Source organism: Homo sapiens, chromosome 16, assembly GCF_000001405.40.
Source record: "Homo sapiens chromosome 16, GRCh38.p14 Primary Assembly".
In the NCBI taxonomy this organism is placed as follows: Eukaryota; Metazoa; Chordata; class Mammalia; order Primates; family Hominidae; genus Homo; species Homo sapiens.
Window position 1 is genome coordinate 89,302,667 of NC_000016.10, and position 27,094 is coordinate 89,329,760.

A 27,094-nucleotide genomic window follows, 5' to 3' on the forward strand; every position below is an offset into this window, starting at 1 on the left:
CAAGAAGTTATTAAAATTGGCCCCGAAAGGGTGATAAACACAGGAGGACAAATACTACGTTTCTTAGGTCTTTTTGTTACAATCCTTGCCTGGAAAATTCTATTTTCAAAATGTTCTTTACTGTTTTCCCACCTCACAGGGATTCTCACCTACCCTGTCCTCACCTAGGCCTGCCCCTCACAGAGTAAGGACATGGTGTTCAACACGCAGTTCCAGGAGCACCCAGGGCTGTGGCAGAAAATATCCCAGAGACCCACAGAGAGCGAGAATGGCCTCAGTGGGCCAGCACGGCTGGCACCACGCAGGCGCTAACCATCAACAGACAGACCCCGGAAGCTTCTGACAACACAACAGGGCCCTGGGTGAGAGCTTCTCTGCACCATGATGAAACGGCCACCACAAAGAGACCTGAGCAGCCAGATGGGGTGGGCACCAGGTAGCCCTGGGAACGCCACCTTACCAAGTGGGATCATTCTCCCAGGAAGCAGAAGCAGATGCTTGTCTCATTAACCCTTTCAGCAACACCTCCAGAGACATCACAGAAACACCTCAAAGGTCTGAGGCCAACTCCCGCATGGCCACTGTGCAAAGAGCTAACAGCTACGTATCAACATGACGGCCTTCTACAACCAAAACCAGCATGGGGACCAAAGACGGCAAACACAGGGTTTCAGGCCTGGACTGACTTTCTCTAGGCCTAAAGCCCGAGAGTACACAGCACCGCTGGGAGCTCCAGGGAGTCACCCAGGCCCTCCCTTCTGGGGGCTGAGGTCCCTTACACAACCCATCCACACATTCTGTCCACTCACTTCCCCGTGTCTCCCAGTGTTCTTCCTCGGAGCTGTCCGCTGCTGGGAAGAGGAGTCCTCCTGGGCCTGTGCTGGTGTCCCTGCAGCCTTCCTGTCCCCAGATGTGCTGGCCCAGAGACAGGAGCCATGTGCCTGGCACTGCACCTGCCCCTCACTTCCCATCTGGGAAAACCAGCCCTCTCTGCTGGCCTTTCACTCAGCAGAGTCTCCACCTGGCTACTGTGAGCACATCCCTGGAGCACCCCACATAGGACAGGAGGGGCCACAGGCCTGCGGCAGCCACACAATCATAAAGGCTGAAGCTTGCTGAGCTGTGCTGACAAAAGCTGGGGTGTGGATCCTCTTTACTGGCTGTGCCTGCTGCCGTTCCTCTTCAACAATCTCCTTCGTATCACGAGCTCTTCTCACCTGGACCACTTCCCCCATCTGCTCTCAAGCCCGCATCCTGGCACAGCCTCTACGCCTTGTGCTATGGCTGCATTCAAGAAGTCTCAGGAAGCCAGGGACAGAGCCGAGGGCCTGACTCAGCACTCTCCCGGTTCACTCCAGGCTTTGTGGCCAGCTTAGTGCTCTACTGCCTCCAACCTTCCCCAGCAGGGCTGTAGAGAAGCTGGATGACCAGGAGGACAAGGAGGCCTCTGGACACAAGAATCACCAAAGAGCAAGCACGGCCAGCGCAGAGGCCTCTGGGCTCCCTGCAAGCAGCTCAAGACAGAATCCACTGGGAAGGTGTCACTGCAGAAGGCGCTGACCCCACCAGGAGCGTGTGCACATGAACACACATGGGCTTGCACACGGGCACACAGGCATGCACACATGGGCACACAGGCACACACGTACACATGGGCACACACAGGCATGCACACACACACGGGCGCATACACAGGCATGCACATGCACACACATGCAAACGCACACATGGGCATACACACATGAGCGCACATATATACAGGCACACACAGGCACACAAAAGCATACACATACTCAGGCACACATGGGCACACATACACGGGCATAGACGGGCACGCATACACAGGCACACATACAGGCACACACATGGGTACACACAAGCACATACACGGGCACACACATACATGGGTACATACAAGTACATACACACACGGGCACACACACGGGCATACATACAGGCACACACATGAGGGCATGCACACAGATACACGGGCATGTGCACATGGGCACACATACACACAGGCATACACACTTGGGCACACACTCTGGCACAGGCACACAGCACACACATTCCTGCTCTGCAGCCTCAGACCCCGCCTGTGCTTGGGAAGACCTCCCTGCCTCCTGCTCACTTTTAGGGCTCCCTTTGGTTTTTACTACAAGCAATGGAGTTTCTTCCTGTGCCTTTGTGGCCCTGAGGGGAACCACTGTCTCCCTCCCGTGTCCAGCTGTCAGAAGACCCACAGGTGAGCAGCCCCATACCTCGCCCAGGGCTGGACATGCACCGGGTGCATCTCCACGTGTGTGGGACCCAAGAGTGAAGCTCTCCAATCGGCCCCATGGGCCTGAGCCTCGGGTGCAAAGGAGGTGGCATGTGGGGGCCTGTGCTCCGCCCCTGCTGCCTCTTGCCTGGACGGCGTGCAGGGTGCTAGAGTGCGTCCCAGTGCAAAGCCGGAGGTGCGGGGGCCAGGGACGCCCTGCCTGGGCTGCTCCGGGCTGCCTGTGGAGGGCTGACTGCAGGAGGGGCCGCGGGCTGGTACCTGTGTCCGAGTCCTTCTGCTCCCCATTGGCGCCCGCGGTGAAGGGCAGCTTCCGCTTGCTGGCTCGCTCCCTCACCTCCTTCCCGCCATCGCCACGCTCCAGTTTTGGGGTCTTGGTTAGAGAAACTTTATCTTTATCCTAGAAAAGAAAGGGATGCTTTCAGTCGTGATGTCCAAATTACATTCTCAAGCTCTCAAGATTTTGTTTCATATGCCAGGAGAAGCGCATCTCTTATTTGGGCAATGAACACCCTCCCTGCACCCCAGGGCGTGGCTGTGTGAGGCTGGTCACCGACCGCAGAACCTTCACCCAGAAGCCCGGGGTCGGGCTGTGGCTCAGCCCTGACTCTGGCCCATTTCTCATCCTGCGCACCGGAGGGACGCTCAGGAAATCGCTGGTGTGTGTGGAGAAAGCAGAGGAGACACACACGCGCTACCTCTCACTCCGCAGACACGCGCTACCTCCCACTCCGCAGACACGCGCCACCTCCCACTCCGCAGACACGCGCCACCTCCCACTCCGCAGACACGCGCCACCTACCTCCCACTCCGCAGACACGCGCCACCTCCCACTCCGCAGACACGCGCCACCTCCCACTCCGCAGACATGCGCCACTTACCTCCCACTCCGCAGACACGCACCACCTCCCACTCCGCAGACACGCACCACCCACCTCCCACTCCGCAGACACGTGCCACCCACCTCCCACTCCGCAGACACGCGCCACCCACCTCCCACTCCGCAGACACGCGCCACCCACCTCCCACTCCGCAGACACGCGCCACCCACCTCCCACTCCGCAGACACGCGCCACCCACCTCCCACTCCGCAGACACGCGCCACCCACCTCCCACTCCGCAGACACGCGCCATCTACCTCCCACTCCGCAGACACGCGCCACCTCCCACTCCGCAGACACGCCACTTACCTCCCACTCCGCAGACACGCACCACCTCCCACTCCGCAGACACGCGCCACCTACCTCCCACTCCGCAGACACGCGCCACCTACCTCCCACTCCGCAGACACGCGCCACCTCCCACTCCGCAGACACGCGCCACTTACCTCCCCCTCCGCAGACACACGCCACCTACCTCCCCCTCCGCAGACACGTGCCACCTCCCACTCCGCAGACACGCGCCACCTACCTCCCACTCCGCAGACACGCGCCACTTACCTCCCACTCCGCAGACACGCGCCACCTACCTCCCACTCTGCAGACACGCGCCACCTCCCACTCCGCAGACACGCGCCACCCACCTCCCACTCCGCAGACACGCGCCACCTCCCACTCCGCAGACACGCGCCACCCACCTCCCACTCCGCAGACACGCGCCACTTACCTCCCACTCCGCAGACACGCGCCACCTCCCACTCCGCAGACACGCGCCACCTCCCACTCCGCAGACACGCGCCACCTACCTCCCACTCCGCAGACACGCACCACCTCCCACTGTGCAGACACGTGCCACCTCCCACTCCGCAGACACGTGCCACCTCCCACTCCGCAGACACGCGCCACCCACCTCCCACTCCGCAGACACGCGCCACTTACCTCCCACTCCGCAGACACGCGCCACCTACCTCCCACTCCGCAGACACGCGCCACCTCCCATTCCACAGACACGCGCCACTTACCTCCCACTCCGCAGACACGCGCCACCTCCCACTCCACAGACACGCGCCACCTACCTCCCACTCCGCAGACACGTGCGCTACCTCCCAGGAGGGAGACGGTGCGACACACACAGCGCTTGGGACGTGGGGAGGGGGACGGTGCGACACACACAGCGCTCGGGACGTGGGGAGGGGGCAGTGTGACACACACAGCGCTCGGGACGTGGGGAGGGGGACAGTGCGACACACACAGCACTCGGGACGTGGGGAGGGGGACGGTGCGACACACACACTGCCTTTCCCCATCAGTAAGCCTTCTTTCTGTAACTTTCCCTAGGTAAGCTGCCGGCAAATACCGTGCAGTGGTCAGCGAAGCCTTCAGAGCACCGGAGGCCTCAGCTGCTCCAGGGCTGAGATGCCCAACTGTTCCTGGGAGAAGCCCAAGCATCCCCAGCCACGGTCCTGCCTCCTGGGACCCTGATACATCTTCCAGCTCAGTCACTCTGCATCCACCAAACGTGCATCCACCCAACCTGCATCCACCAAACCTGACAGTTAATCTGAGACATCCCTGAGTGACCATGAAAGAGCTTTCCAGAACATGCTGCAAGCTCAGAGTGCAACTGGAGTCAAAGAGAAGCTGCCAAGCAGACCGGAGCCCACCTCTCCAGTGAGACACGGGGACAGGAGGAGGGTGCCAGACGGGTCTCTGGGGAGACGGGGCCTCAGGAACGTAACACCCACCCCAGCAGTGCAGGTCCCTCCCGGGCCTCCGGAGGGTTAACACCCACCCCAGCAGTGCAGGTCCTCCCGGCCCTCGGCCTGGGTGCCCAGATGCAGCTCCCCCGCCGCCTGGCTGCAGCTCCACTGAGCTTTTCTATGGCCCCCTCGGAGTGCAGTCCCCACCTGGAATGAGATAGGCATCTTCCTTGGGGTCGGGGAACGCCAGGAAAGAATGGCACACACCAGCAAGAAGCTCCAATCTTAAACTCCTTCCTCCAAGAACACTCCTGGCCCAGGGGGTGGGTTCCACCAGACATCTGAAGAGAGGCCACCATCACCCTAATCTCAGAACCTGATGAGGGAAAGTTTCTACCAAACATGTGAAGGTTCTACCAAACATGTGAAGAGGCCACCATCACCTTCATCTCAGAACCTGATGAGGGGAAGGTTCTACCAAACATGTGAAGGTTCTACCCAACATGTGAAGAGGCCACCATCACCTTCATCTCAGAACCTGATGAGGGGAAGGTTCTACCAAACATGTGAAGAGGCCACCATCACCCTCATCTCAGAACCTGATGAGGGCATTCTATGAAAAGAAAATGATAAACCAACATACCTTATGAACATAGACAGGATATATAAAAAAAGACAACACAAATGATAGGAATAAGAATAGATTCGAGAATGCAAGACATTTAAAAAGCAATGTAATTCACCACATTAAGAAAATAAAGAAAAGAAAACCACGTGCTCATGTCAACAGCTACAGAAAAGGCCTGGGATAAAATTCCACACTGTTTGTGATGTGGGAGGAAAGCCCCACACTGATCAAGGCCTCCAGGGAGCCTGGACAGAAGGAACACTGTCCCCAGGTCCACGGTCAAGGCAAGACTGCCTACAGGCACCACCCAACAGGCACTTCACAAAAGAAAATATCCAAATAAGACAACGAACACCTGAAAAGGTGATTCTCATCAGGAAAATGCAAATGACAGCCACGAGGAGATGCACACCAGCACCCCCACCAGGACAGTTGGGAGAAGACAGGCCCTGCAGACCCCAGCAAACGCCCGGGAGGCTTTGAGGGAGAGCTGCAGGTGCGTTTCCCATGACGTGTTCACAAACAAGCACAAGGATGTTCAAGGCAGTTTTGTTCGTAATACAAAAAAAATGACACAACTAAACTGCCCGTCCAAAGGCAAATGAACAATTCTAGAATACAAATGGAATACCGCAGGGGGTGCGCGCCGTGAGAAACGGGTGCACACCATGAGAACGGGGACGTGCAGCATCAACACTGAGGGTGAGCGCCATGAAAATGGGGTGCGCGCAGTAAACACAGGAGGTGCGCGCAGCCTCGTGGAGGAGCCCCGTGCATGCAGTGGCAGATGCAGCGGGCAACCAAGGTGGGAACATCTGTACCCCAAAGATCAGCCCTCCTCTGGAATAAGACTGGGCTCAATCCCTTTCTTCACACATGGAAGCTTCTAGAAGACAGCACAGGAGGACATGTTCACCACCAGAAGACAAGAGAACACACACCACACCACCATGTGACGCCACCACACGCCCAACCACACAGACGTCAGGCCCACACACTGAGCCCTGGCAGGGATGTGGATTCCCTGGTGGTTCTTGGGGCACACTGGCTCATCGACAGAAGAGCCCACAAATGCTGGGCATGGCCACAGCCACGAAGGGAGAGAATGCCAACAGGAGCAAAATCCTGCAAGTCAGACACTGTGGAGCAACTGATGTCTCCCACGGAAATCTCAACAGCCAAAACCTACCAGTGGAGACAGAAGTCAGGGCAGAGGTGACTTTTCGAATGGGGAACATTACTGAAGGCCCCTAGCACTCCGGAATGTTGTGTATTCTCATCTGGGTGGTGATTATCCCTGGTTTTACAGATGAAATGCCAGCTATAATGTCTATCTATAGTTCACTTTAAAAGTTCACAAATTTCTTTTTCGCTTCCCAGCTCCTTACACCTCAACGAGCTGCGCAAGGAAAAGCACACATGGGCAAGGCGCCTGTGTGACACGAGGCTTGCCCCGAGCTGCCTACAACAGGGAGCGTGGCACAGCCACCAGGAAGGCGGCTCCCATCCACCTGGGCTCAGAGCCTGCTGGGCAGCTGGGGTGGGACAGGCCCTGTTTCGGCCCCTCTAACCTTTCCTCACCAGCACAAGAGGACTGTCAGCAGGAACCACGTGCACATGCTACAGAATGTTCTCATTTCCTAAATGCAAATATCTCCAACATTAAATCCAATCCTTACCAGGCACCTCCTGTAAGGCCCCACTATGCCCCAAGGACCACCAGATAGTGACAGCCATGGCACAATGACCCTGCCGGGCCCCACCAGCCTGCCGGCCACCTGGCTTCTCCTCCTTATGACACGAGGTAGGCTCTGCACATGTCATATGCAGATTCCCTATCACATCACGACTTCCACTCATGGGAAGCACACACAGAGGAAAGAGAAAGTTGTAGTAACTGAAAAATGGCCACGTCCAGTTGACACCCTCCCCCTGGAGCTCAATCTTTCTGGTAAGAATGAGAGTCGTGTTGTCCACTGACTGCAGCACAGAGGTGCCATCCGGTCCTTCCAGTTCCATCACCAGCTCAGCTGCCTTGGTATCCAAACTGTCTATGTGCGGGGTCCGCCTGTGTGTGGGGTGCGGGGTCCGCCTGTATGTGGCATGCAGGGTCTGCCTGTGAGCTCTCTTCTGTTCCACTCACCCATGGGTCTGTCCTGCTACCAAGAGGAAGCACACTACCTCATGCCTGTAGCTTTAGAGGAAGCAATGAAACTACACTGTCTGCATCCTCCAATTCTGTTCTTTCTCAAGGTGGCTTTGGTTATTCTAGGTCTTTTCAATTTCCCTATTAACTTTGGAATCGTCTTATGAATTTCTACCCAAAAAAGCCCACAGGGATTTTGGCTGGCATTACACTGAATCTGTACATCAATGTGGAGAGAGATGGCATCCAGTTTTGAGGGTTTCCTGATCTATGAATATTGTATAACTCTGCATTTAGGTGTTTCTGAATTTCTCTCAGTTCTCAGGAATATTTTGCAGCTTTCAGGGTACAGGTTTTGCAGCACATCTTCGGTCAAATTTACCCCAAAATAATCCGTATTTTTTATACTACTGCAAACATTTTTACAATTTCAGCCCTCTATTATTTACGAGTATTTAGAAATACACTTCTGCATAATGGGTTTGCACTGGAACACCATGCTACGCTCACTGATTCTTGTAGCTTTTGTGCAGATGTCTTGGGCTTTCCTCCATCAATGTCTGTGAATAAAGACAGTGTTCCTCTTTCCTCTTCAGTCTGACTTTCGTGCTGCCTGGAGTCTGCAGGACGATGCTGACTGCAGTGGAGATGGCCAGTGTTTCTTTGTCTGTTCTCAATTTTAGGTGGAAAGAATTCAGTCTTTGACATTAAATATGATGTCAGTTGCAGGTTTTCACAGATGCTCTCTGTCAGGTTGAGGAAATTCCTCTCTATTCCTAGTTTGCAGAATTTTTTTTAAAATAATGAATGTGTGTTAACTTTTGTCAAATGTTTTTGCTGCATTAGTTGGTATGATCACATGGTGTTTTCAGTCTTATAACAACTTGAACTGATTGATATTGGAGGTTCAACCTTGAATTCTTGGAATCAACCCTACTTGGTTGGTCATGGTACATTATTCATTTTATTTTATAAGCTGATGAATTCAATTTGCTAAAATTCTTTTTAAAATTTGTATGTTTGTGTTCATGAGGGCCATTGGTCTGTAGTTTTCTTATCCTGTAGTACCTTTGTCTGGCTTTGGTATCAGTATAGTACTAACACAACAACTGTCTATCTAGATAGAAAACAAGAACCTCTATGTTTACCTCACACCACATACAAAACATGAACCTCTACGCTTACCTCACACCATATACAAAACATGAACCTCTATGCTTACCTCACACCACATACAAAACATGAAAATCTATGCTTACCTCACACCACATACAAAAATTAACTAGAAATGGATCATAGACCTACATCTAAGAACTAAAACTATCAAACTTACAGAACACAGGAAAAACTTCTGTGACCTTCGTTTGCCAAAGATAGGATTTTAAAAGAGAGCACGAGTTCTAGAAGAAAATATTAAATAGAATGGACCTCTATCTTGGGAGTTGGGCAAGAGTGAAGACATGGAGGCTGCTCAGAGCACCCTATACAACACTGTCTAAGGACCCAGAGCCAAGGGGATTTTCTTGGCTTTTTCTTTCTTAAAGTGGGAAGTTTTTGCTTTATTCTAATAATGAAAATCAGGAACACAGGGAAGGACTTCCACTTCTTTTTTCTTCCCCGACACAGATTCTCACTCTGTCACCCAGGCTGGAGTGCGGTGATGCGATCTCAGCTCACTGCAGCCCATGCCTCCCGGGTTCAAGCAATTCTCCTGCCTCAGACTCCTGAGTAGCTGGGATTACAGGCATGCAACACCATGCCCAGATAATTTTTGTATTTTTAGTAGAGATGGGGTTTTGCCATGTTGGCCAGGCTGGTCTCGAACTCCCGACCTCGGGTGATCCTCATGCCTCGGCCTCCCAAAGTGCTGGGATGACAGGTGTGAGCCACCGCACCTGGCCAGGAACTTCCACTTCTTAAACGTGATGTGAGAACCTGAGGAGCTCGGCGTTCACAGCATCAGGTAAGCCTCAGTGCAGACGGCATGTGGCAGAGCTGAGAATGCACAGAATGCAAATTCGCTGCTTCAGAGCTAAACCTCCAGTGGGAGGAGATGAGGACAGTGTGTTCTACAGAGAGGAATCACGCAGGGGAGGGGCGGGGCAGGGCGGAGGCAGCATGCAGGCATGTGAACTGGGTGGTGGGGGAAGCCCAACTGTCAGGTAAGCAGAAATGGTAGGAGCTGGCGGGCCACAGGCCGTGTGCTCTGAGCCCTAAGACTGGGAAGAGAAGCGGATCCAAGTCCAGCAAGCCCAGCAAGTCTGGCTTCCTCTGTGATGCTGCTCTATGTCCTTTTCTGCCTTAGTGAAAAGATGGACAGAAATCACCCTCTCCACGAGCCCATGTGGGCCCACAGCGGTCTCAGGGGTGTGTGAGCCCAGCTTCGCCCTCCTGTGCTCTCGCCATCAGACACGGCCTCCTGCTCCTCCCGAAGCATGCGGGGGAGTTCTGGGCTCTGTTCTGAGTACAGACCCCATGCCAGACTGGCTCGTGAAACCACAGCCTGAGGTGGGACACGCCGAGGCCCAGCCATGCGCCTCCCAGCTTCTCAGCTAAGGTCACTCTGGAATACTTATCTTGAGGGACGTAGCTCCCAGCTCCCCACCTGCAGCACTGACAAAGCTATCTTCGGGGAGGGGCCTCAGACCAGATGTGAGTCTGTAACTGGCACAGACTGGGGGGGTTTCTGCTGAGACTCGCTGGAGGGCTCACATGCTCAGTTCTCAACTGCAGCCTCCATGCCCATGGACGCCATCTCCAGCCTCTCGGCCTCCACACAGCTCGCCAGGTCTCAGTGGGGCTGTGAATGTGGGTTCCTAACAAGCTCCAGCAGCTCAGGTGACTGCTCGTCGGAGGACACACTTTGAGAACCACCAAGTGAAGCTCAGGGGGCTGTGAGGCTGCCTGTGCTCTGAGTGGCGTGCATGGAGCACAATGAGACAGGGTGACTGTGCCATGGGGTGGGGACGACAGGGGACCCATGGGGTGGGGACGACACTGTTCTCTGTAGCCCTGCACACCTTTGGATCAGAACACACTCAACGATGCAGACACCTGCTGGTTCTTCCCGAGGCAGCTCAGCGGTTCTGGGATTCCGTGGTCGGCAATGGTGAGAGACCGTCTGCAGAAGGGGCCCTTTCTCTGACACGCCTGCCACTGTGCTCACTGGTGCAGCCAAAGGGACACGCACAAGCCGTCAGGTCAGCGCGGCATCAGGATGCACTGCAGAGTTGTGGGCTCCATTTCCATCTTCCACGTATATGTCACTGAGATCACGATTCTTTTGGAAAAATCTAAAAATATATTGTTTTTGATAACATAAAGCTATATCTGGAGAAAAGGGAGTTTATGGTAGAAGACTGAGCAGAAACCATTTCAGCCTGTACCAGGAGAAGGCAGGTCAGATGTGTGCACCTGAGTTCTGGCACTTGGGGCTCACTTCCTCCCTAAGGAATACAGCCTCTTCTAACAGCAGCTGCAACCAGGAGTGCGTCTTCCCAGGCATTCTATTTCAAGCTACTGTTCAAGCTAAGAAAGCTCCACCAGGCCTGAGAGCTCCCTACTCCCTGTAATGCGTTTAAAATTTGTCTGCCTCCATGAGGAAAATGCCTGGCTTTACTGTGAGTAGTTGGAAAAACAAACAAACAAACAAAACAGGACAGGCTGGGTGTGGTAGTTCACGCCTGTGATGCGGAAGCTGAAGGATCACTTGAGCTCAGAAGCTTGAGACCAGCCTTGGCAACATGGTAAGATCTCGTCTCTACAAAAGATACAAAAATGAGCCGGGTGTAGCGGTCTGCTCCTGTGGTCCCAGCTGCAAGGGAGGCTGAAGTAGGAGGACTGCTTGAGCCTGGGGCAGTGGGGCAGGGTGGGGGGTTATGGAGGGTGCAGAAGTTGCAGTGAGCTGAGACTCTACCACTGCACTCCACCCTGGGTGACAGAGTCAGACCCTGTCTCAAAACAAACAAACAAACAACAACAACAAAAAACCACACATACAACTGAACCCATAACACAGCTACCTTACTGGAAAAGCCCAGAGTGAAATCCACACATCCCTCACAGCACACGTGTGAACAGAGCTCGCATCGACATTATCAGGCCAGTTCATCAAGTCTCTCTTCTCCTTAAACAAGAGAACAACTCAAAGCAGCTGAGCGCACACATCAGCGCTGGGGCTGCCGGCAAATCAGGACACCCTGCCTCCTGCGCCAACACGACCTGCTCTCTGTGGCTCTTCCGGCCTTTCTCGTCTCGTGCTACCCTGCCGAGACTGCCTTCCCTGCAAGTCCACTGACACAGGGCTCCACCACGCCCAGCCTGCTGGTGTGTCAAGCGGCTCAGAGAACCACCTCCTCAATAAGCATATCTGAGACCTGAGCCAGGAGAGCTCCCTCTTTCCTCCACTGCTTACTGATCTTCATCAGACCAGGCACAGAGAACAGGAGTGACAGGTGCCACCTCGCCATCAATGCCAGGGCCAGGATCTCCTTTCCCCACATTCCTTCTGCATCCTACCCAGGCCACCACTACCACCCTTACCCTAAAACCTGCGGGCACAGAGGCTGGGATCCTCTGTGAAGCGCAGGCCAGGTTCACTCAGCAGTCTGTTCACACAGCTGCTCCAGAACTCCAGCATCAGACCCTCAAGGGCACAACCCAAATCTCTTTGTTCCTAGAGCACACCCCAGGTGCAGAAGCCAAGCAGCCCTTTCACAGACGTTCTGAGGTCCTGGGACCCCCACCCACATCACCCGTGTGAACATGACAGGTTTTTGATCCAAACACACAGCTCACGCCTCCACACTCTCGGGGTGAAACCACACCATACACGACCTCTTTGGGAGCCAATGCTCAGTGGAGGCATGGAGCATGCTGAAGCCGAAGCTTGGTGGCAGTGGCAGGAGCTCAAGAGGATGGGGGCGAGGCCTGAGCTGTATGCAAAGTATTCTGCACCCTTGCAGAGCTGGCTGCTCCCCGTGAATGCTGAGTCCCAGGACCCAACCCCACGAGATGAGGAAGATGAGGCCAGGGCGGCGACGTGAAGCTATCCCAACACTCTGACTGCTTAGCCACAGAAGAGCAGGGACCACCGGGAAGCGTGACCTGCCCTTGCGCCTTTCTGCCTCACTGCTGAAGGCCGCACATCAGCACCCTGACCACCCACCTCCTCAGGAGCTCAGCAGGACACGCCCATCACGACCACCAAACCCTGACTCTCCGTAGGCTTCACACACACGTGTGTCCCCGCCTGTGAGCTCGGCGGTGTGGTGCTGACCAAGCACTGGCTTCAGCTCATCCTTCGCTGGTGGCTGCAAGCCATGGAACCCACCCAGCCCTGCACACGGCACGAGGAGCTTGGGACAGAGCAAGTGGGAGCAGACACTTGGATGCTGCCCAGACATCAAGGGTCTCAGAGCTGCTGTCGTTTAGCACCTGCACGTGTCCGTATTCACAAAATGCTTCACGATTCACCAAAAAGAAGTGGACTGAGTCGCCATCATGTTGCTGCTGAGGGGAAGGCCGTCTTGCTGGTTATGTTCGCGTGTGGAACCCCTGCTGAGCTCACACCACACCAAACCCACAACATGAGCAGAGAGGCTGCAGCACAGCAGCACAGGAAGCAGCAAGAGGCCTCACAGGTAGTGACCTGGGGACCAGAAGGCGGCCCAGAGCAACCGGCAACCAGGAACACACTGAGGGGACCCTGCCCACCAGGGACCACCGAGGGTCAGACAGGTCACAGATGAACGGCCTGCCACACTGGCCAAGAAGTTAGGAGGAGCAAGGAGGCACGAGGATCAAAGGACGACAGCGACAGGATGGCAGGAGCTGACACACATCCTGCACAGCAAGGCCCTGCCTCACCATTCACTCCACCAGACACGATACTGTGCCTGCTGCAGAGACAGGAAGCTGACTCAGGAGACACCTGACTTGTTGACGGTCACAAAGATAACACATGGCAAAGCCTGAACTTGAACCTGGATCTGTCCAAGTTCACATTCGCTGGGCACACCCCAGAACTCGGCGTCTCCCCTCACAGTGCAGGACAGGAAGTCTGTACTTCCTAACACCCCAGAACCCAGCAGCACCCGCCAATACTGCAGGACAGGAAGTCTGCACCCCAGGAAACTGCATCACCCCCCACACTGCAAGGCAGGAAGTCTGCACACCAGGAATCAGCGTTAACCGCACATTAATAAAATGCAGTGGTTTTGATTGGCATCCCATTTTCCTATTCACATTTAGAATAAACCACAGTTGGAAGTAACGTGGCCCAGCATTGCTTGCAGTCAGGATATCTGAATGCCTGACAGGCCTAACAGGAGCCAGGACAGAAATCCTGGACTTCTGGGGGTAGAAACGTGCAGCCACATTGAGGCTCAGGCCAACTTCTGTACATAAAGCTATTATTTAACGCTTGACTTCGGTCCCCAAATAACAAATACAAAAAAAGCAAGGCCACTTTGGGAAAGATCACTCCTCACCACCCTCTCCACTCCTGGCTGCAGACAGAGGCACGAGGAAAGGGCCGGAGGGCGGAGAACAGGCCACAGGCGGGCAGCACCCCATTCCCACCTCATCCCCATCTGGGTGCGGTGAGCATGCAGGGCTGGGAGGGGGCAGCATTACCTTTTTCCCAGTCTGCTTCTCCACCATGTCGCTGCTGAGGGGAAGCTCTTCCTGCTGTGGTGCTTTAGGGCACCCACCCTTGGGCATCGTCCTGCTCCTCACCCGATCTTCATTTACACGGCCGGCGCTTCATCATCAACCGTCTGCTTCAAAAGAGAAGACACACAATTCACTGAATTCAGAGGCAGCTCAAAACTCATCCACTCTCACACCGCACTCAACAGACTCAGTAACTAGTCAAGGCAGGCAGCTGCTCTGATCAGGGCTGGGGCCCGGGCCAGGCCCAGGAAGGGACTTCTCAGGATACGCCTCCCATAAAGGGGTCACCAGCAACAGGAATGGCAGCTTTGAGCAGGAAGGAGAACAGAGAAGGGTCAAGCACTTTGTAGTGGCAGAAAGGGACGCATGGCCTAGGGTGTGGCTGTGTTCTGGGTGGCAGTCAGCAGCACCTGGATCCTGGGTCCCACCTGGTACAGGCTACACCCAAAACGGTCAGGCACCACAAGGCAGTCCCTTCCCCGCATTACAGGCAAGGTCACAACACGCAGCGCAGTACCCCAGCCCTCAGGTCTGGCAGGTCATGTCCACAGCCCCAGCCTCACGCCCCACTCACCACCTGGGAAGGAGCTCCTGTCCCCACCAGGCCTGTGCTTTTTGCACACCCAGTTCCCTAACTTGGTAGGCAAGGGGTGTCTCTGAGCGAGTCCCAGCAGCTCCGAGGTCCCAACTCCACGCCCATGGAAGCAGACGCCCCCTCGGGCCTCAGGCTCCAGCTCCTGGGTTTCCCAGGAAATCCGAGGACACATACTGTATTAATTGTATATTATTTTTATTTATTAATCATGTTTTATTTTAGGAAATTTTGCCATCTTAACAAGTTTCTGGCCAGGGAGAGACTGCCCCTCTCTCAGGGCTGGCAAATTCCTAGATAGCCAAGGGCTCCCATGCAACCCAATCACCTTCTTACCCAAGTTCACGCCCAGGCCAAGCCCTGCCTGAAACCAGCGCAGAGCCAGGTAAAGGAAACTAGAAAGTGTCCCTACAGCACAAAGCCTGCAAGAACTTTCCGAAGCAGCCACTCCCGAACTATTTGCTCTGCCCCGTCCCTCTCTTTCTGCAGGAAACCCAACAGGCAGTTGGGGGAGGCCTTCCCCGAGCCCCTGCTTCCGACTCCCACCCCCGTGGTGTGAGGCTGCCCCTCTGCGACACACGGTGCGAGCGCACTTCTTCCTTCCCAGCCTCGTCCTGGTCTCTTCTGTGGCGATGCCAACTTCCCCACGCCACGCCTGGCATGGACACTCTCGGAGCATGGGCCTCCTCCCTGCCTGTGGGCCTTCTAGGTTTGTTCACCATCACAGCCAGGCCTCCCGGGTGCACTCACGAGAGGAATGGGGGACACACCTACACACCCACACCCAAAGCCACTGTCCCCCCATCATGTCCTCGCCGCACCGTCAGTTAGAAAACATTTCATACAAATGGAACTGTGTGCACGTCTCTGCCCTTTCCGCCACAGCAGCACCTCTGTGCGCGACCATGCCGGGAGAAGCAGCTTCTGCAACTCGCTCCCCTGCATTTACCCATCTCGCTCATGCACGAAGTATGGCTTTTGAAACACGATGTGCAGACCCATCTGTGAGTGGCAGCTCCACTGTGAGCCTCTCCCACCTCCACCCCGTCAGCTAAAGGATACGTTGCATGCCACCTGCCCCTGGACGCAGGCTTGGCTGAGACCACAAGATGCTTCTCCTCCAACACCATCTCATGACCTGCTTTGTCTTTCTAAAATAAATGATAAAATCCCACCAACTGCTGTCTTGGTATTTAACTGGTACAAGAACACAGGTGAAGTTATTCTGGAGAGAGGGACAGGTCGGGTCAACGTATTCACTGCCTGACACCTCCACCCGCGGTGCAGGTGAGCAGGTGTTTCCATCCACCATCCCTGATGCCTGAGGCCAGACATATTTTCTCTCTCTACCTGAACCAATGAATTTTACATTCTCTTCCAATTTTCCACCACAAAACCGGAATGTCTCAGCCTGGAGAAAGGGCATCTCAGCACCTGACTCGGAAGGCTGTTCAAGCTCATGGCTGTCTAGAAACTCAGTGGTAATGTTTACAAGTTTAAGGATTATCTGGAATTAACATTTTAAAAAATCCAGACTGTCTGCTCTCAGGACGGAAAAACGGGGCCTTCACCATGTAGAGTCCACCGTCCTGATCCCAGATGTGAGTCTGTGGCCCACGGACACACTCAACAGCTCTGGCGTGGTCAGGGCGCAGACCCCACGGCCTCCGGACGGTGTCTGGGCCCCGACAGTGCGGGGCTTATCACTTCACTCCTGAGACACCTGATTCTCTTCATGTCCCTAGCTTGGTGCTTTGCCCAGGCACCTTCCCCAATGGACCAGGGATCTGGGAGTCCACTCAGGAGGTGGAGGAAGTGGGTCGCACCCACCAGGCAAAATACTTTTCACGGCCTGCATCACAGCGAACACTCCGGGGACTCGGGAGTGTTGTCCCAGGTGTACGCTGTGTTTTCTGGAGACGTTTCTCCAGCCACCTGCACGATGACAGCTAAGACCATCCAGGCCGTGGCCCTTCCAGGACCCTCGTGTCCGCCTGGCCTTGGCTACAACATGTTACCGATGGCAGCGATGTGCTCGAGGCCCTGCAACCCCAGCCCCCGCCTCTCCATGAACCACCACCCTCATCACAGTCATGGAGATGGTGACAGCTGAGATGTCCTGCTGAAGCATCTGCTGGATGTGGATGAAGCTGGTTTGGATGTAGCTGCCATCTAGCCCAGGCTACACCTCCCAGGACCCGCCTGCAGGCACCAGGCGTGCAGCACGCGGCCCACTCTAGAGTCTTTTTCAATGAGAGACCAGATGAGGACAGAGGCTCCAGTTGCTTTTGTTCTGTTCCAAGACTTGCCATCCCAGTCCTCCCAGAAGCTGCCCTGGTGATGCCTCTGGCACCTTTGGCCCCCACACTGCCCTGTGTTCCCTCCACCAGGCTCAGGGCTGGTCAGCCTCACCCCTTGCCGTGAAATGGCAGAGCCAGCCGAGGGCCGAGGAACCGTTACTCAGCCGTGTCAGTGACTTCTACCAGGGGCTGCACGGCACTCAGGAGTCAGGCCAACAGGCTCTGCTGACTCATGGGTGTTGTCTGAGGGTGGGGGCTGTGATGATGTCCCCAGGCCTCCCTGGCAGGGCTGTCACATAAAACAGTCCTTGAAGCTGGGAGTCCCCTCTTTAGACAGTTCCGCAGCCCCTGTGCCTTCTCATCACGATGCTGCACAGCCGACCACACAACAGAAGGCACCGGGTCTCACTCCCGGGGGAGACTCTTCCCTGGAAGGTGACTTGGCTGTCCCTGCCTAGACTCATTTTAAGTGCAGCCTAAATCTCCCTCATTTCCAAGTTATCAGGCAAAGTCTATTTTAAACTCACGACCCTTGAATCAGCAGGAAACTGAAACACGCCTCAGGCCACTGGGGCTGACTCACGCCCTGTGCTGAGCGGCAAGGCACAGCCGCGGGAAGGTAAACGCAGAGCCGAGGGGCCGGCCAGCACCTGGCCCTGACCGCCCCCAGGCCACGCATTCCTTGTTACTTCACCTCCTGGCGGATGGCAACCGTCCCAGCTTCGTGGACTGTCAGGGTCACCGAGAGTCCAGGGTGGTGGGAGTCCCCCACACGAGCCACTGGCACACTCCCTGAAGCAGAAGCCACGGCGCCAAAGCTGTGGGCTCAGGGAACTTGCCCATTACCTGGCAGCCCCGCATCTGTGCCAAAATAAGACACAACTCAGCCCAGCGGAGTGGACAGTGTCTGCGGCCAGCTCTGGGATCCAGGGCCAGCTGATGCTGGGAACAGCCGTCCTTGCCCTGTGCCTCTCCACACTGCGAGAGCCCCTGCAGCCCAGAGGGGCTCCACCTCCCCTGCAATGGGGCTCAAAAGACAATCCTTCTACGGGGCTGGCAGGACAGACGTGACAGGAACAACGATGGCCTGCTCCTCCCGGAAGGTGGCTTCAAGAGCACTCAGGAGGTGACAGATGCTGTCAAGACCGGCCCAGGGAAGGCACAGGGCAGGTTTCCCAGCACCCACCACGCGCCAGCGAGCACAGAGCCTTCGCCTGAACCATCCAGGCACCGCGCCCTCCCCCTCCGCACACACAGGAGCCCAGCTGCGATTCCCTCTGCTCCACAGGAGATGCAGCGAGCACCAAAGAGCCTTCCTCCAGGATTAAGCCTGATGCAGAAGTGGTTACACTGACTACGGCAAGGTCAGTTTGGCAAAACCCCCAGGAATTTCAGCCTATCTGGTCTCTTCAGCTGACAAGAGCAGGCACTGGTGGGGAATCCGGCGCTGCCTCTCCCCGGCTTCTAGGATCTGAGCTGGGCCAGGACAACCCTGAGACACCTGTCGGGCGGGGCAGGACTGGGGCTGCAGGGCGGGACTGTGGGGAGGGGACTGTGGGGCGGGGCCTGCAGGGCAGGGTGTGGGGCGGGAGCTGCGGGGCGGGGACTGTGGGGCCGGGTGGGGAGCCGCAGCTGCGGGGCAGGGGCTGCCCAGGAGCACTCCTTGCCAGAGGCCTTGGCATCACCAGGGAGTCCGTGGACCATGGAGACTCACGGGTCCCCTCGGGCCTTCTGAACCCAAACCTGCATTTTAAGCATGTTCTGTTCTGCACACTAACACCTGAGAAGGACCGTATAAGAAAAAACTTGTAATGACACAACTAATCTTAAAACTCACAGAAAAAAAAAAAGACTTCTTTGGGGTTGAAATTCACCTTCAATAAAGGGATGGAATGTAAGCAGAGCTGACCATGAACAACCTGGGTCTGGGTTTGCACTGCGTGGGTTCACTTACACGCAGATTTTCTTCCACCTCTGCCTCTCCTGAGACAGCAAGACCCATCTCTCCTCTTCCTCTTCAGCCTCCTCAACGTGAAAACCCGGAGGACGAAAGCCATTCGTGGAGACCCGCTGCTGCTGCGCGAGGCTTAAGTCTATTTTCTCCTCATGATCTCAGTATTTTCACGTCTCTAGTTTGCTCTACCCTAACAGTAAGAGCAGAACACACATAACATACAAAATGTGTGTGACTGGCTTTATGTGGTCAGGAAGGCTCTGGTCAACAGAAGGCTGTTAGTTAAGTTTGGGGAAAGTTAAAAGTTCTACACAAATTTTCAACTGCACAGGAGGCTGGCGCCCCCAACCCCTGTATTGTTCAAGGGTTTGCTGTAATTTGTATTAAAACACCAAGCCCCCTTACACCTGGGTGAGTCTCTCTCCCTGAACAGATGTGACAACATTACCCTCCGAAGACTCCCAGAGAGAAAGAGAACACTTCAAATTCAGATTTGTCTTCCACAGTATGTTGATAGAACAGGCCTTTACGTACGTCCTGGGCAAATGCTCCTCTCCTTATGTAAGTTAATAACTCCACCAACCACTAGTTTGTGTAATGACCATTTAAATATCGAATGGTGCCCAAGGCCCCTGAGAAGGGATGTGATTCAGCCCCTCCCCTCACGCAGGCACGTGGCCTCAGAGGCCCAGGAGGAGGAAGACAGGAAGTCAGCAGCAGGGTGGAAAAGGGGAGGGAAGCCCTTCAAGGGAAGCTCTCCCAGAACCTTCAATCCCAGCTCCAATTCCAAAGACAGGAACACACTCATGACTGACAGGATCAAACACCAAAGGCCTGTTTGCCTTGAGGGGGACACTGGGGAGGGTGGGGAAGGGGGAGTGAGGAGGAGCTGGAAGCAGCAGTCCTGTGTGGCACCAGGGGCTTGCTCCCACGTCGGCCCTGGGCACAGCCCCGCATGGTGATGAGGTGTGGCCTGCCTGCAGCACACGGCCATGCTCCAGATACCTTAGCTTTATCTGAAGAGTTCTTTTGTTTGTTTGTTTGTTTGTTTGAGACAGCTGTGTTGCCCAGGCTGGAGTGCAGCGGTGTGATCACAGCTCACTGTAGCCTCCGCCTCCTGGGCTCAAGCTATCCGCTCACTTGAGCCTCCCAAGTAGCTGGGAGTACAGGCCCGTGGCACCATGCCCGGCTAATTTCTGTACTTTCTGTGGAGTCGGGTTTCGCCATGCTTCCGAGGCTGGTGTCTGAAGGATGCTTTACGGCAACCCCTGCCTTTTCCAGCTGAGCCCTGCCGGCTGTTGTGCGCTCCGTGGAAAGGGAGAAGCACGGTCTCCAGCGGCTGCGTCAGGAGTGGTGCCTTGTGCACACCTCACAGGGAGAGAAGTCTCCAACGGACTGAGCGGAGGAAAAAAGAAAAAAGGAGAAAAGGAAAAAGAGCTGCATACCTGGCAGGCCTACTGTGTGCAAAGCCCTTGAGTGACACACCCTATGACCCACAGCACTGTGGCAATCCCAGGTATGGAAGAGAAGCACCACTGGCCTCTCACCTCTCACCATCTCAGTGGGCAAGGGGAGAGCAAGCAGCCCAGGGCAGGGGGGCTGAGCCGAGGGCAGGGGGGCTGAGCCGAGGGCAGGGGGGCAGAGCCGAGGGCAGGGGGGCAGAGCCCAGGGCAGGGGGGCAGAGCCCAGGGCAGGGGGGCTGAGCCGAGGGCAGGGGGGCTGAGCCGAGGGCAGGGGGTCTGAGCTAAGGGCACGGGGGCTAAGCCCAGGGCAGGGGGGCTGAGCCCGGGGCAGGGGAAGAGCCGAGGGACAGAGGCCCTCACAGGAACCAGGCCCTCCCGCACACCGCCTGACAGTCCACGTCAGCGTCTCTGTCCAGCCTCCACACACCCCTGCACGTTCTGAAGAGCCCTCCCCAAGAGTCCAACTCTCTCTCCTTCCTCCTCAGGGCCGCACCAGCTCTCTCTCCTTCCCCTCCTCAGGGCCACACCAACTGTGGGGTTCCAGCTATCACTCTGTGCAAAGGACTCCTAACATGGGTGTCCTCCGTCTCACCCCATAAGCCACACTGGCCAAGGCCAGGCAGGCACCACACATCGCGAGGTAGAATCTCTTTGCTACGGTTTGAATGTTTGTGTCGGCCCCTCCCCTGCACCCCAAAATTCACAGGTTCAAACCAAACCCCCAGTGTGCCCAGCTACTTTTTGTATTTTTGGTAGAGACAGGGTTTCACCATGTTGGCCAGGGTGGTCTCCATCTCTTGACCTCATGATCTGCCGGCCTCGGCCTCCCAAAGTGCCCCACGGCACAACGCTCTCTACTGCAGCCCTGTTTCCACTCACATTTTCTGTTATCACGGCGGGGGGTGGCAGCACCGAGAGCGCGTTCAGCATTACTGGCCTCTGCTTTGCCCCTCAGACACATGCTTGGTCACTGGGCTGTGGAACATACAGGAGCCCCGTGCTCCGGAACACGGACCACCCGACAGGAGCACGGACACAGCAGTCGGGGCGACGTGGGTGCCTCACAGAAGAGGGAAAAAGCCAGGAGGGCGGCACGTGGGCGCAAAGTTCTCAGCTTCGTTAGTCATCAAGAAAATGCAAACTAAAACCAAGGTAAGTGTGAGGGTTACTACTGAGTTTCAACTTGACTGGACTAAAGGATGTGTAACTGTTCCTGGGAGCATCTTGAGGAAGCTGCCAAAGGAGATTCACATTGAGTCAGTGGACGGGGAGAGGCCGACGAACCCTCCATCTGGGGGGGCATGATCTCATCAGCTGCCAGCACGGCAGATCTGCGGAAGCACTGGACTGGCTGAGTCTTCCAGCCTCCATCTTTCTTCCATGCTGGATACTTCCTGCCCTCGAACATCAGACTCCAAGTGCTTCAGCTTTTGGGTTCTTGGACCTACACCAGTGGTTTGCCAGGGGTTCTTGGGCCTTCGGCCACAGACTGAAAGCTGCGCTGTTGGCTTCCCGACTTTTGAGGTTTGGGGACTCGGACTGGCTTCCTGGCTCCTCAGCTTGCCAACAGCCTATTGTGGGACTTCACCTCATGACTGTGTGAGTCAATACTCCCAATAAACTCCCCTCCATATATACATTTATCCTATTAGTGCTGTCCCTCTAGAGAACCCTGACTCGTACACACAAGTACTGGTGAAGGGGTGGAGCAAAGGAAACTAGTCCACTCTCATCAGGGCCAACTCACGCACCTGGCAATCTCTACTCATACTGAACACAAGTATGCCCTATAGCCCAGCAATGCCATTCTGGACATACACGTCCAAAAGAAAAGCAGGTGCACAGACACAAGAGACACGCGTGAAGTGCTTCATAGCAGTGGGGTTTGCGGCGTGCCACTAGGATGTGAGGGTGGAACACTACACAGCAGAGGAGGCAAACACATCACAACGTAAGTCAATCTCACAAATAATGTTGAGGAACCCTGTCTCTACGAAAAGTTTAAAAATTAGCCGGGCACTGTGGTGCATGCTGGCGGTCTCAGCTACCAGGGAGGCTAAGGCAGGAGGATCACTTGAGCCCAGGAGGTCGAGGCTGCGGTAAGCCAAGATCATGCCACTGTACTCCAGCCCGGGCGTCAGAGCCAGACCCTCTCCCCTCTCCCCTCTCCTCTCTCTCTCTCTCTCTCTCACACACACACACACACACACACACAGAGTAATAATGTTGGGGACAAAATACATGATACATTTACATAAATTTCTGAAAATAGCAACTACAGTACTTAGGGATGCATACTTAGTTGACAAGACATCCGCGAAGCGTGGAAAATGGCTGCCTGGCGGATGGAATTGGAAGGGACGGTGAAACGGGTTCTAAGTGAAGGCTGCGGAGGCGTTTGCTTTGTGGTCTGCTAAGTTGTACATTTTTACTGGGTGGACGTTTGGGTTCTCAGCTGAAGCAGTCTTTCAGAAGGTGACAGAGATAAAGGCCACACTATGTCCTTGCAAGGCCTCAGAGGTGTCACTGACCTTTTGCTGCAGGACCTGTTCTTCTCAGGGGTCTTGGCCTCCTAGAGGAAGGAGGGCCCCATCGCCCTGCTAGGCCCTACTGGGACCCTCAAGGGCATGAGCATGACGACGGAGCAGCTTCAGGCTTCCCAGCATGTCGGGCAGGCCTAGCCATGCCCAATACACACTGCAGGGCACCCACTGCAGAGTGCAACAGGGAGCTTGGAGCCTGACAAGGAGACACACAGCTCTGTGAAGACGAAGGGGAGGAGGAGCAAGGAAAATGCTTCTTTTACACAGAAGGCGCCAAGATACAAACTAAATGTGATGAAGACAAAGAAAAGCAGGCGTGTGTGTTAAAGGTACAATTGCACAGCTAAAAATAATCATGGCCGTAAGGCAGGGACGGCAGATGGAGGGTGACTCAGCAGATTTCCTCCAAGGCTTGCGAGGGTGGAAATAAACACACGGAAGTGACCAGCAGAGAGAAACACGCAGGGAAGAGGAAGGTTAGAAAGGTCTGGGGTGTCACGCACCGTTGCTGGGAATGCAGAGGAGGACGGTCTGCAGAAGGGGACGCAGCCACCGCCCCCCCCACCCCGCTGCAGAAGGTGCACACCACTCAGCAACCACCCACCCACTGCTCAATCTACCCCCAAATTACACAAATAGGGCCAGGCACGGTGGCTCACCCCTGTGGTCCCAGCTACTCAGGAGGCCAAGGCAGGGGGGTCATTTGGGCCCAAGAGTTTGAGACCCGGGCAATGTAGGGAAACCTCATCTTTACAAAAATATCAAAAAATTAATCAGTCGAGGTGGCACGCACCTGTAATCCCAGCTCCTTGGGAGCCTGAGGCAGGAAGACCCCTTGGGCCCAGGAGGTCGAGGCTGCAGTGAGCTAAGATTGCACCACTGCACTCCAACCTTGGTGACAGAGCAAGACCCTGTGTGAAAAAAACCCAAACCCCAAACCAAAAAAACACAACCGGGGCATGAAAAAGTGCTTGGCCCAGAGCAGTGCCCCAAAGCATCTCCTAAGAAAGGGGCTTAACACAAAGCCTGCCCGCCAGGGGCTGCTGGTGGCATCCGGGCACATCTGCACGTGGGGCTGACAGGACTAAGGAGGTTCCACAGACACACGACCAGGCGGAGACGCAGAGAAAAGCAGGTACAGCAAGAAGTCCACTGGGCAATGCAGAGGTGGGGAATGCAGAGGGGGAATGCAGAGGTGGGGAATGCAGAGGTGGGGAATGCAGAGGTGGGAAATGCAGAGGTGGGGAATGCAGAGGTTGGAAATGCAGAGGTGGGGAATGCAGAGGTTGGAAATGCAGAGGGCACCTACACTTCTGATGACAGCGAAATATGTAAGGCTGGCTCAACCATCAATCAGTCAACGTCACCCAGCATGCCAACAAGCTAAAGAAGAAACACCACATAATCACAACTGGTACAGAAAATCATTTGATAAAATTCAAAACTCACGATAAAAATTCCTAGGAAAACAGGAGTGTGGAGAAACATCCTCAACACGATAAAGGCCAACTACCAAGAACTCAAGGCTGACATGATCAAGAGTGACGTGCTGAGGGCTGCAGATGGAATGGCATACAGGGCAGAAAGGAAGAAATGGAATAAAACTGTCTCTCTCTGAAGATGGTGTAAGTGTCCATGTCGAAAATCACAAGGAATCTATCAAAAATTCCAAGAAACTTTATTTAATAGAGTTCAGCAAGGACACAGAATCCAAGATCAACACACAAACACCTATCCTATTTCTGCAATAATCCTATGAAAACAAGAAATAAAGACAGTACCATCCTATTTCTGCATGCTACCAATAATCCTATGAAAACAAGAAATACACAGTACCATTCTATTTCTACATGCTAGCAATAATCAAATAAAAACATGAAATAAAGACAGTACCATTTATAGGTGCTCCAAATAAAAATAAATGCTTAGGTTCATATGGAACAAAACTAGAAAAACCTATACACATTTTAGGAAAAAACAGGAGAAAATCTTTAGGACCTAGGGCCAAGAGTTGTCAGACATGGCAACAAAAGCACAATCCATAAAAGAAAAAACTGATAAACGACCTCGACAAAATTAAAAACTTTTGCTCTTTGAAAGACCTAGTTTAAAGAGTGAAAAGACAAACTGCAGACAGGGAAAAATATCTGCAAATCACAAGTCAGATAGCAGGCTTGTATGTAGAAGAAAGAAGTATCAAACAACAAACATTAATTAGAAAATAAGAGAAAACACACAGACATTCAGAAGAGGTGCACGTGGTGAACAAGCCATGAAGGCACTCGACATCCTAAGCCGTTAGGGAAACACAACTTAAAGCCGCAATGAGATATTACTGCACACCAATCGGAACAGCTAAAATACAAAATACTCAAGGATGCTGGAGAGGATGTAGAAAAGCTGGAACTCTCTCGCTTGCTGTGGGAACGCAAAGTGGTGTTGCTGCTCTGGAGAACAGCAAGGCAGCCTTACGAACCTAAGTGTGCGCTTGCTGCCCCACTCAACAACTGCACCCCAGGACATTTATCTGAGAAAATGGAACCTCATGTGAACACAAAGACCTGTTTGCGAATGTTCACAGAACTTTCACTGATAATAGACAATGGGGAAAACCCTTCAACAGGTGTCCCAGCGGTGTCCTCGAAACTGGGTTTCATTCACATCACGGCATCCCCTCAGCAGTAAAAGGGATGGCTATGGATACACCCAAGCGTATGGGTGAATCTGCAGAGGCCCCTGCTGAGTGAGTGGACACACCCAGGCGTACGGGTGAATCTGCAGAGGCCCCTGCTGAGTGAGTGGACACACCCAGGAGCACGGGCGAAATCAGCGGAGGCCCCTGCTGAGTGAGTGGACACACCCAGGAGCACGGGCGAAATCAGTGGAGGCCCCTGCTGAGTGAGTGGACATACCCAGGAGCACGGGCGAAATCAGCGGAGGCCCCTGCTGAGTGAGTGGACACACCCAGGCGCACGGGCGAATCAGCGGAGGCCCCTGCTGAGTGAGTGGACATACCCAGGAGCACGGGCGAAATCAGTGGAGGCCCCTGCTGAGTGAGTGGACATACCCAGGAGCACGGGCGAAATCAGTGGAGGCCCCTGCTGAGTGAGTGGACATACCCAGGAGCACGGGCGAAATCAGTGGAGGCCCCTGCTGAGTGAGTGGACATACCCAGGCGCACGGGCGAATCTGCAGAGGCCCCTGGTGAGTGAGTGGACGCACCCAGGAGCACGGGCGAATCAGCGGAGGCCCCTGCTGAGTGAGTGCACAAAGCCCACCTCTTAGGTCACTCCCTGTGGACTCTACTCCCACGGCTTCCTCCAGGACAAAACCACCAACCTCGGGGAAACAGGCGGGGACTCCGTGAGGAGGGCTCATGTCTGTCGGTGGCTGTCGAGGAGGCTCTAGGACCAGGTATCCAGGATAAGACGGGGGATCTGAATCAAGTCTGCAGGGCGGTCACCCTGTCTTCCAATGTCATGTTCCCGGCCACTGGGCGAAGGTGGGGAAGGGCACAAGGGATGCTGCTATTTTTGCAACTTCCTGTGAGTCTATAATGATTTCACAGAAAAAAGGAAAAAAAAGGGAGAAAAAACACAAGGGGTGTAAGGAGACTCCCATGGGTGATGAATAGTCTATACTTTTAGGTGATGGTGTTTCCCCAACGGTATACGTTTCCCAAAACCCACTGAGCTGTAAATTTAAAATGAGTGAATTTTATGTCAATTGTAATTCAATAAAGCTGTTAAAAAATTAACTAGAAACAGAAAAAAATTTTAATTCCCATAGAAAGAAGGAATAAAGTAAAAAAACAGTATGAGGTAGGAGGTAAGCTTCCTTTCATAAACCTTGTTTTGTGTATTTGGCTTTGGAATCATGCATTTTACATCATTTAAAACATTAAATATAAAATGAGACTGGGTGCAGTGAATCCCAG

The 27,094-nt window shown here is 54.5% G+C and overlaps 2 protein-coding genes and 1 long non-coding RNA gene across 7 annotated transcripts in view, besides 20 other annotated features; 1 reads left to right on the top strand and 2 right to left on the bottom strand.

The window, feature by feature from the left end:
- The window catches only part of ANKRD11 (ankyrin repeat domain containing 11), a 222,932-nt gene that overhangs the window by 35,037 nt on the left and 160,801 nt on the right, over nt 1–27,094 (bottom strand). For 2 of the 4 annotated variants that reach the window (NM_013275.6, NM_001256182.2), the window contains 2 exons: nt 14,267–14,412; nt 2,540–2,678 (listed from right to left, as the gene is read on the bottom strand). In NM_013275.6, the coding sequence (NP_037407.4) occupies nt 2,540–2,678; nt 14,267–14,353 (226 nt within the window). In that variant the 5' untranslated portion in view covers nt 14,354–14,412. Of the gene's footprint in view, nt 1–2,539; nt 2,679–10,650; nt 10,924–14,266; nt 14,413–27,094 lie in introns of all 4 variants that reach the window. The other 2 variants (NR_045839.2, NM_001256183.2) reach the window with 2 other exon arrangements.
- Nucleotides 3,865–4,531: an enhancer, noted in NCBI's record as "H3K27ac-H3K4me1 hESC enhancer chr16:89372939-89373605 (GRCh37/hg19 assembly coordinates)". NCBI's record gives its function as "activates a minimal SCP1, AML or CMV promoter by ChIP-STARR-seq in primed H9 embryonic stem cells {active_cell/tissue: H9 hESC(primed)}" and the evidence as "EXISTENCE:reporter gene assay evidence [ECO:0000049][PMID:30033119]".
- Nucleotides 10,189–10,983: an enhancer, noted in NCBI's record as "H3K4me1 hESC enhancer chr16:89379263-89380057 (GRCh37/hg19 assembly coordinates)". NCBI's record gives its function as "activates a minimal SCP1, AML or CMV promoter by ChIP-STARR-seq in primed H9 embryonic stem cells {active_cell/tissue: H9 hESC(primed)}" and the evidence as "EXISTENCE:reporter gene assay evidence [ECO:0000049][PMID:30033119]".
- Nucleotides 12,581–13,172: an enhancer, noted in NCBI's record as "H3K27ac-H3K4me1 hESC enhancer chr16:89381655-89382246 (GRCh37/hg19 assembly coordinates)". NCBI's record gives its function as "activates a minimal SCP1, AML or CMV promoter by ChIP-STARR-seq in naive H9 embryonic stem cells {active_cell/tissue: H9 hESC(naive)}" and the evidence as "EXISTENCE:reporter gene assay evidence [ECO:0000049][PMID:30033119]".
- Nucleotides 13,173–13,764: an enhancer, noted in NCBI's record as "H3K27ac-H3K4me1 hESC enhancer chr16:89382247-89382838 (GRCh37/hg19 assembly coordinates)". NCBI's record gives its function as "activates a minimal SCP1, AML or CMV promoter by ChIP-STARR-seq in naive H9 embryonic stem cells {active_cell/tissue: H9 hESC(naive)}" and the evidence as "EXISTENCE:reporter gene assay evidence [ECO:0000049][PMID:30033119]".
- Nucleotides 13,173–13,798: a biological region, named in NCBI's record as "H3K27ac-H3K4me1 hESC enhancer GRCh37_chr16:89382247-89382838".
- Nucleotides 13,354–13,533: an enhancer, noted in NCBI's record as "active region_11398". NCBI's record gives its function as "activates an Ori minimal core promoter by ATAC-STARR-seq in GM12878 lymphoblastoid cells {active_cell/tissue: GM12878}" and the evidence as "EXISTENCE:reporter gene assay evidence [ECO:0000049][PMID:35858748]".
- Nucleotides 13,564–13,663: an enhancer, noted in NCBI's record as "active region_11399". NCBI's record gives its function as "activates an Ori minimal core promoter by ATAC-STARR-seq in GM12878 lymphoblastoid cells {active_cell/tissue: GM12878}" and the evidence as "EXISTENCE:reporter gene assay evidence [ECO:0000049][PMID:35858748]".
- Nucleotides 13,648–13,798: a silencer, noted in NCBI's record as "fragment chr16:89382722-89382872 (GRCh37/hg19 assembly coordinates)". NCBI's record gives its function as "represses an EF-1alpha promoter that drives an FKBP-Casp9 reporter gene in an ReSE screen in K562 erythroleukemia cells {active_cell/tissue: K562}" and the evidence as "EXISTENCE:reporter gene assay evidence [ECO:0000049][PMID:32094911]".
- Nucleotides 14,357–14,948: an enhancer, noted in NCBI's record as "H3K27ac-H3K4me1 hESC enhancer chr16:89383431-89384022 (GRCh37/hg19 assembly coordinates)". NCBI's record gives its function as "activates a minimal SCP1, AML or CMV promoter by ChIP-STARR-seq in primed H9 embryonic stem cells {active_cell/tissue: H9 hESC(primed)}" and the evidence as "EXISTENCE:reporter gene assay evidence [ECO:0000049][PMID:30033119]".
- Nucleotides 14,380–27,094, bottom strand: part of LOC128462377 (uncharacterized) — a 101,247-nt gene continuing 88,532 nt past the window's right edge. Inside the window, exon 2 of one of the 2 annotated variants that reach the window (NM_001416403.1) lies at nt 14,380–14,409. In NM_001416403.1, the coding sequence (NP_001403332.1) occupies nt 14,380–14,409 (30 nt within the window). Of the gene's footprint in view, nt 14,413–27,094 lie in introns of both variants that reach the window. The other variant, NM_001417603.1, reaches the window with a different exon arrangement.
- Nucleotides 14,949–15,540: an enhancer, noted in NCBI's record as "H3K27ac-H3K4me1 hESC enhancer chr16:89384023-89384614 (GRCh37/hg19 assembly coordinates)". NCBI's record gives its function as "activates a minimal SCP1, AML or CMV promoter by ChIP-STARR-seq in primed H9 embryonic stem cells {active_cell/tissue: H9 hESC(primed)}" and the evidence as "EXISTENCE:reporter gene assay evidence [ECO:0000049][PMID:30033119]".
- Nucleotides 16,802–17,314: an enhancer, noted in NCBI's record as "H3K27ac-H3K4me1 hESC enhancer chr16:89385876-89386388 (GRCh37/hg19 assembly coordinates)". NCBI's record gives its function as "activates a minimal SCP1, AML or CMV promoter by ChIP-STARR-seq in primed H9 embryonic stem cells {active_cell/tissue: H9 hESC(primed)}" and the evidence as "EXISTENCE:reporter gene assay evidence [ECO:0000049][PMID:30033119]".
- Nucleotides 17,259–17,638: an enhancer, noted in NCBI's record as "active region_11400". NCBI's record gives its function as "activates an Ori minimal core promoter by ATAC-STARR-seq in GM12878 lymphoblastoid cells {active_cell/tissue: GM12878}" and the evidence as "EXISTENCE:reporter gene assay evidence [ECO:0000049][PMID:35858748]".
- Nucleotides 17,259–17,828: a biological region, named in NCBI's record as "H3K27ac-H3K4me1 hESC enhancer GRCh37_chr16:89386389-89386902".
- Nucleotides 17,315–17,828: an enhancer, noted in NCBI's record as "H3K27ac-H3K4me1 hESC enhancer chr16:89386389-89386902 (GRCh37/hg19 assembly coordinates)". NCBI's record gives its function as "activates a minimal SCP1, AML or CMV promoter by ChIP-STARR-seq in primed H9 embryonic stem cells {active_cell/tissue: H9 hESC(primed)}" and the evidence as "EXISTENCE:reporter gene assay evidence [ECO:0000049][PMID:30033119]".
- Nucleotides 17,786–22,251, top strand: LOC100287036 (uncharacterized). Its single transcript, NR_168302.1, has 4 exons — nt 17,786–18,561; nt 20,433–20,667; nt 21,100–21,254; nt 21,570–22,251. It is a non-coding gene; the product is annotated as an uncharacterized LOC100287036 (long non-coding RNA).
- Nucleotides 18,159–18,238: a silencer, noted in NCBI's record as "silent region_7898". NCBI's record gives its function as "represses an Ori minimal core promoter by ATAC-STARR-seq in GM12878 lymphoblastoid cells {active_cell/tissue: GM12878}" and the evidence as "EXISTENCE:reporter gene assay evidence [ECO:0000049][PMID:35858748]".
- Nucleotides 20,136–21,335: an enhancer, noted in NCBI's record as "CDK7 strongly-dependent group 2 enhancer chr16:89389210-89390409 (GRCh37/hg19 assembly coordinates)". NCBI's record gives its function as "activates an origin of replication core promoter dependent on BRD2, BRD4, P300/CBP, MED14 and CDK7 cofactors, with strong dependence on CDK7, by STARR-seq in HCT116 cells {active_cell/tissue: HCT116}" and the evidence as "EXISTENCE:reporter gene assay evidence [ECO:0000049][PMID:35650434]".
- Nucleotides 20,395–20,908: an enhancer, noted in NCBI's record as "H3K27ac-H3K4me1 hESC enhancer chr16:89389469-89389982 (GRCh37/hg19 assembly coordinates)". NCBI's record gives its function as "activates a minimal SCP1, AML or CMV promoter by ChIP-STARR-seq in naive H9 embryonic stem cells {active_cell/tissue: H9 hESC(naive)}" and the evidence as "EXISTENCE:reporter gene assay evidence [ECO:0000049][PMID:30033119]".
- Nucleotides 23,048–24,247: an enhancer, noted in NCBI's record as "BRD4-independent group 4 enhancer chr16:89392122-89393321 (GRCh37/hg19 assembly coordinates)". NCBI's record gives its function as "activates an origin of replication core promoter dependent on BRD2, P300/CBP, MED14 and CDK7 cofactors, and independent of BRD4, by STARR-seq in HCT116 cells {active_cell/tissue: HCT116}" and the evidence as "EXISTENCE:reporter gene assay evidence [ECO:0000049][PMID:35650434]".
- Nucleotides 23,269–23,388: an enhancer, noted in NCBI's record as "active region_11401". NCBI's record gives its function as "activates an Ori minimal core promoter by ATAC-STARR-seq in GM12878 lymphoblastoid cells {active_cell/tissue: GM12878}" and the evidence as "EXISTENCE:reporter gene assay evidence [ECO:0000049][PMID:35858748]".
- Nucleotides 23,429–23,548: an enhancer, noted in NCBI's record as "active region_11402". NCBI's record gives its function as "activates an Ori minimal core promoter by ATAC-STARR-seq in GM12878 lymphoblastoid cells {active_cell/tissue: GM12878}" and the evidence as "EXISTENCE:reporter gene assay evidence [ECO:0000049][PMID:35858748]".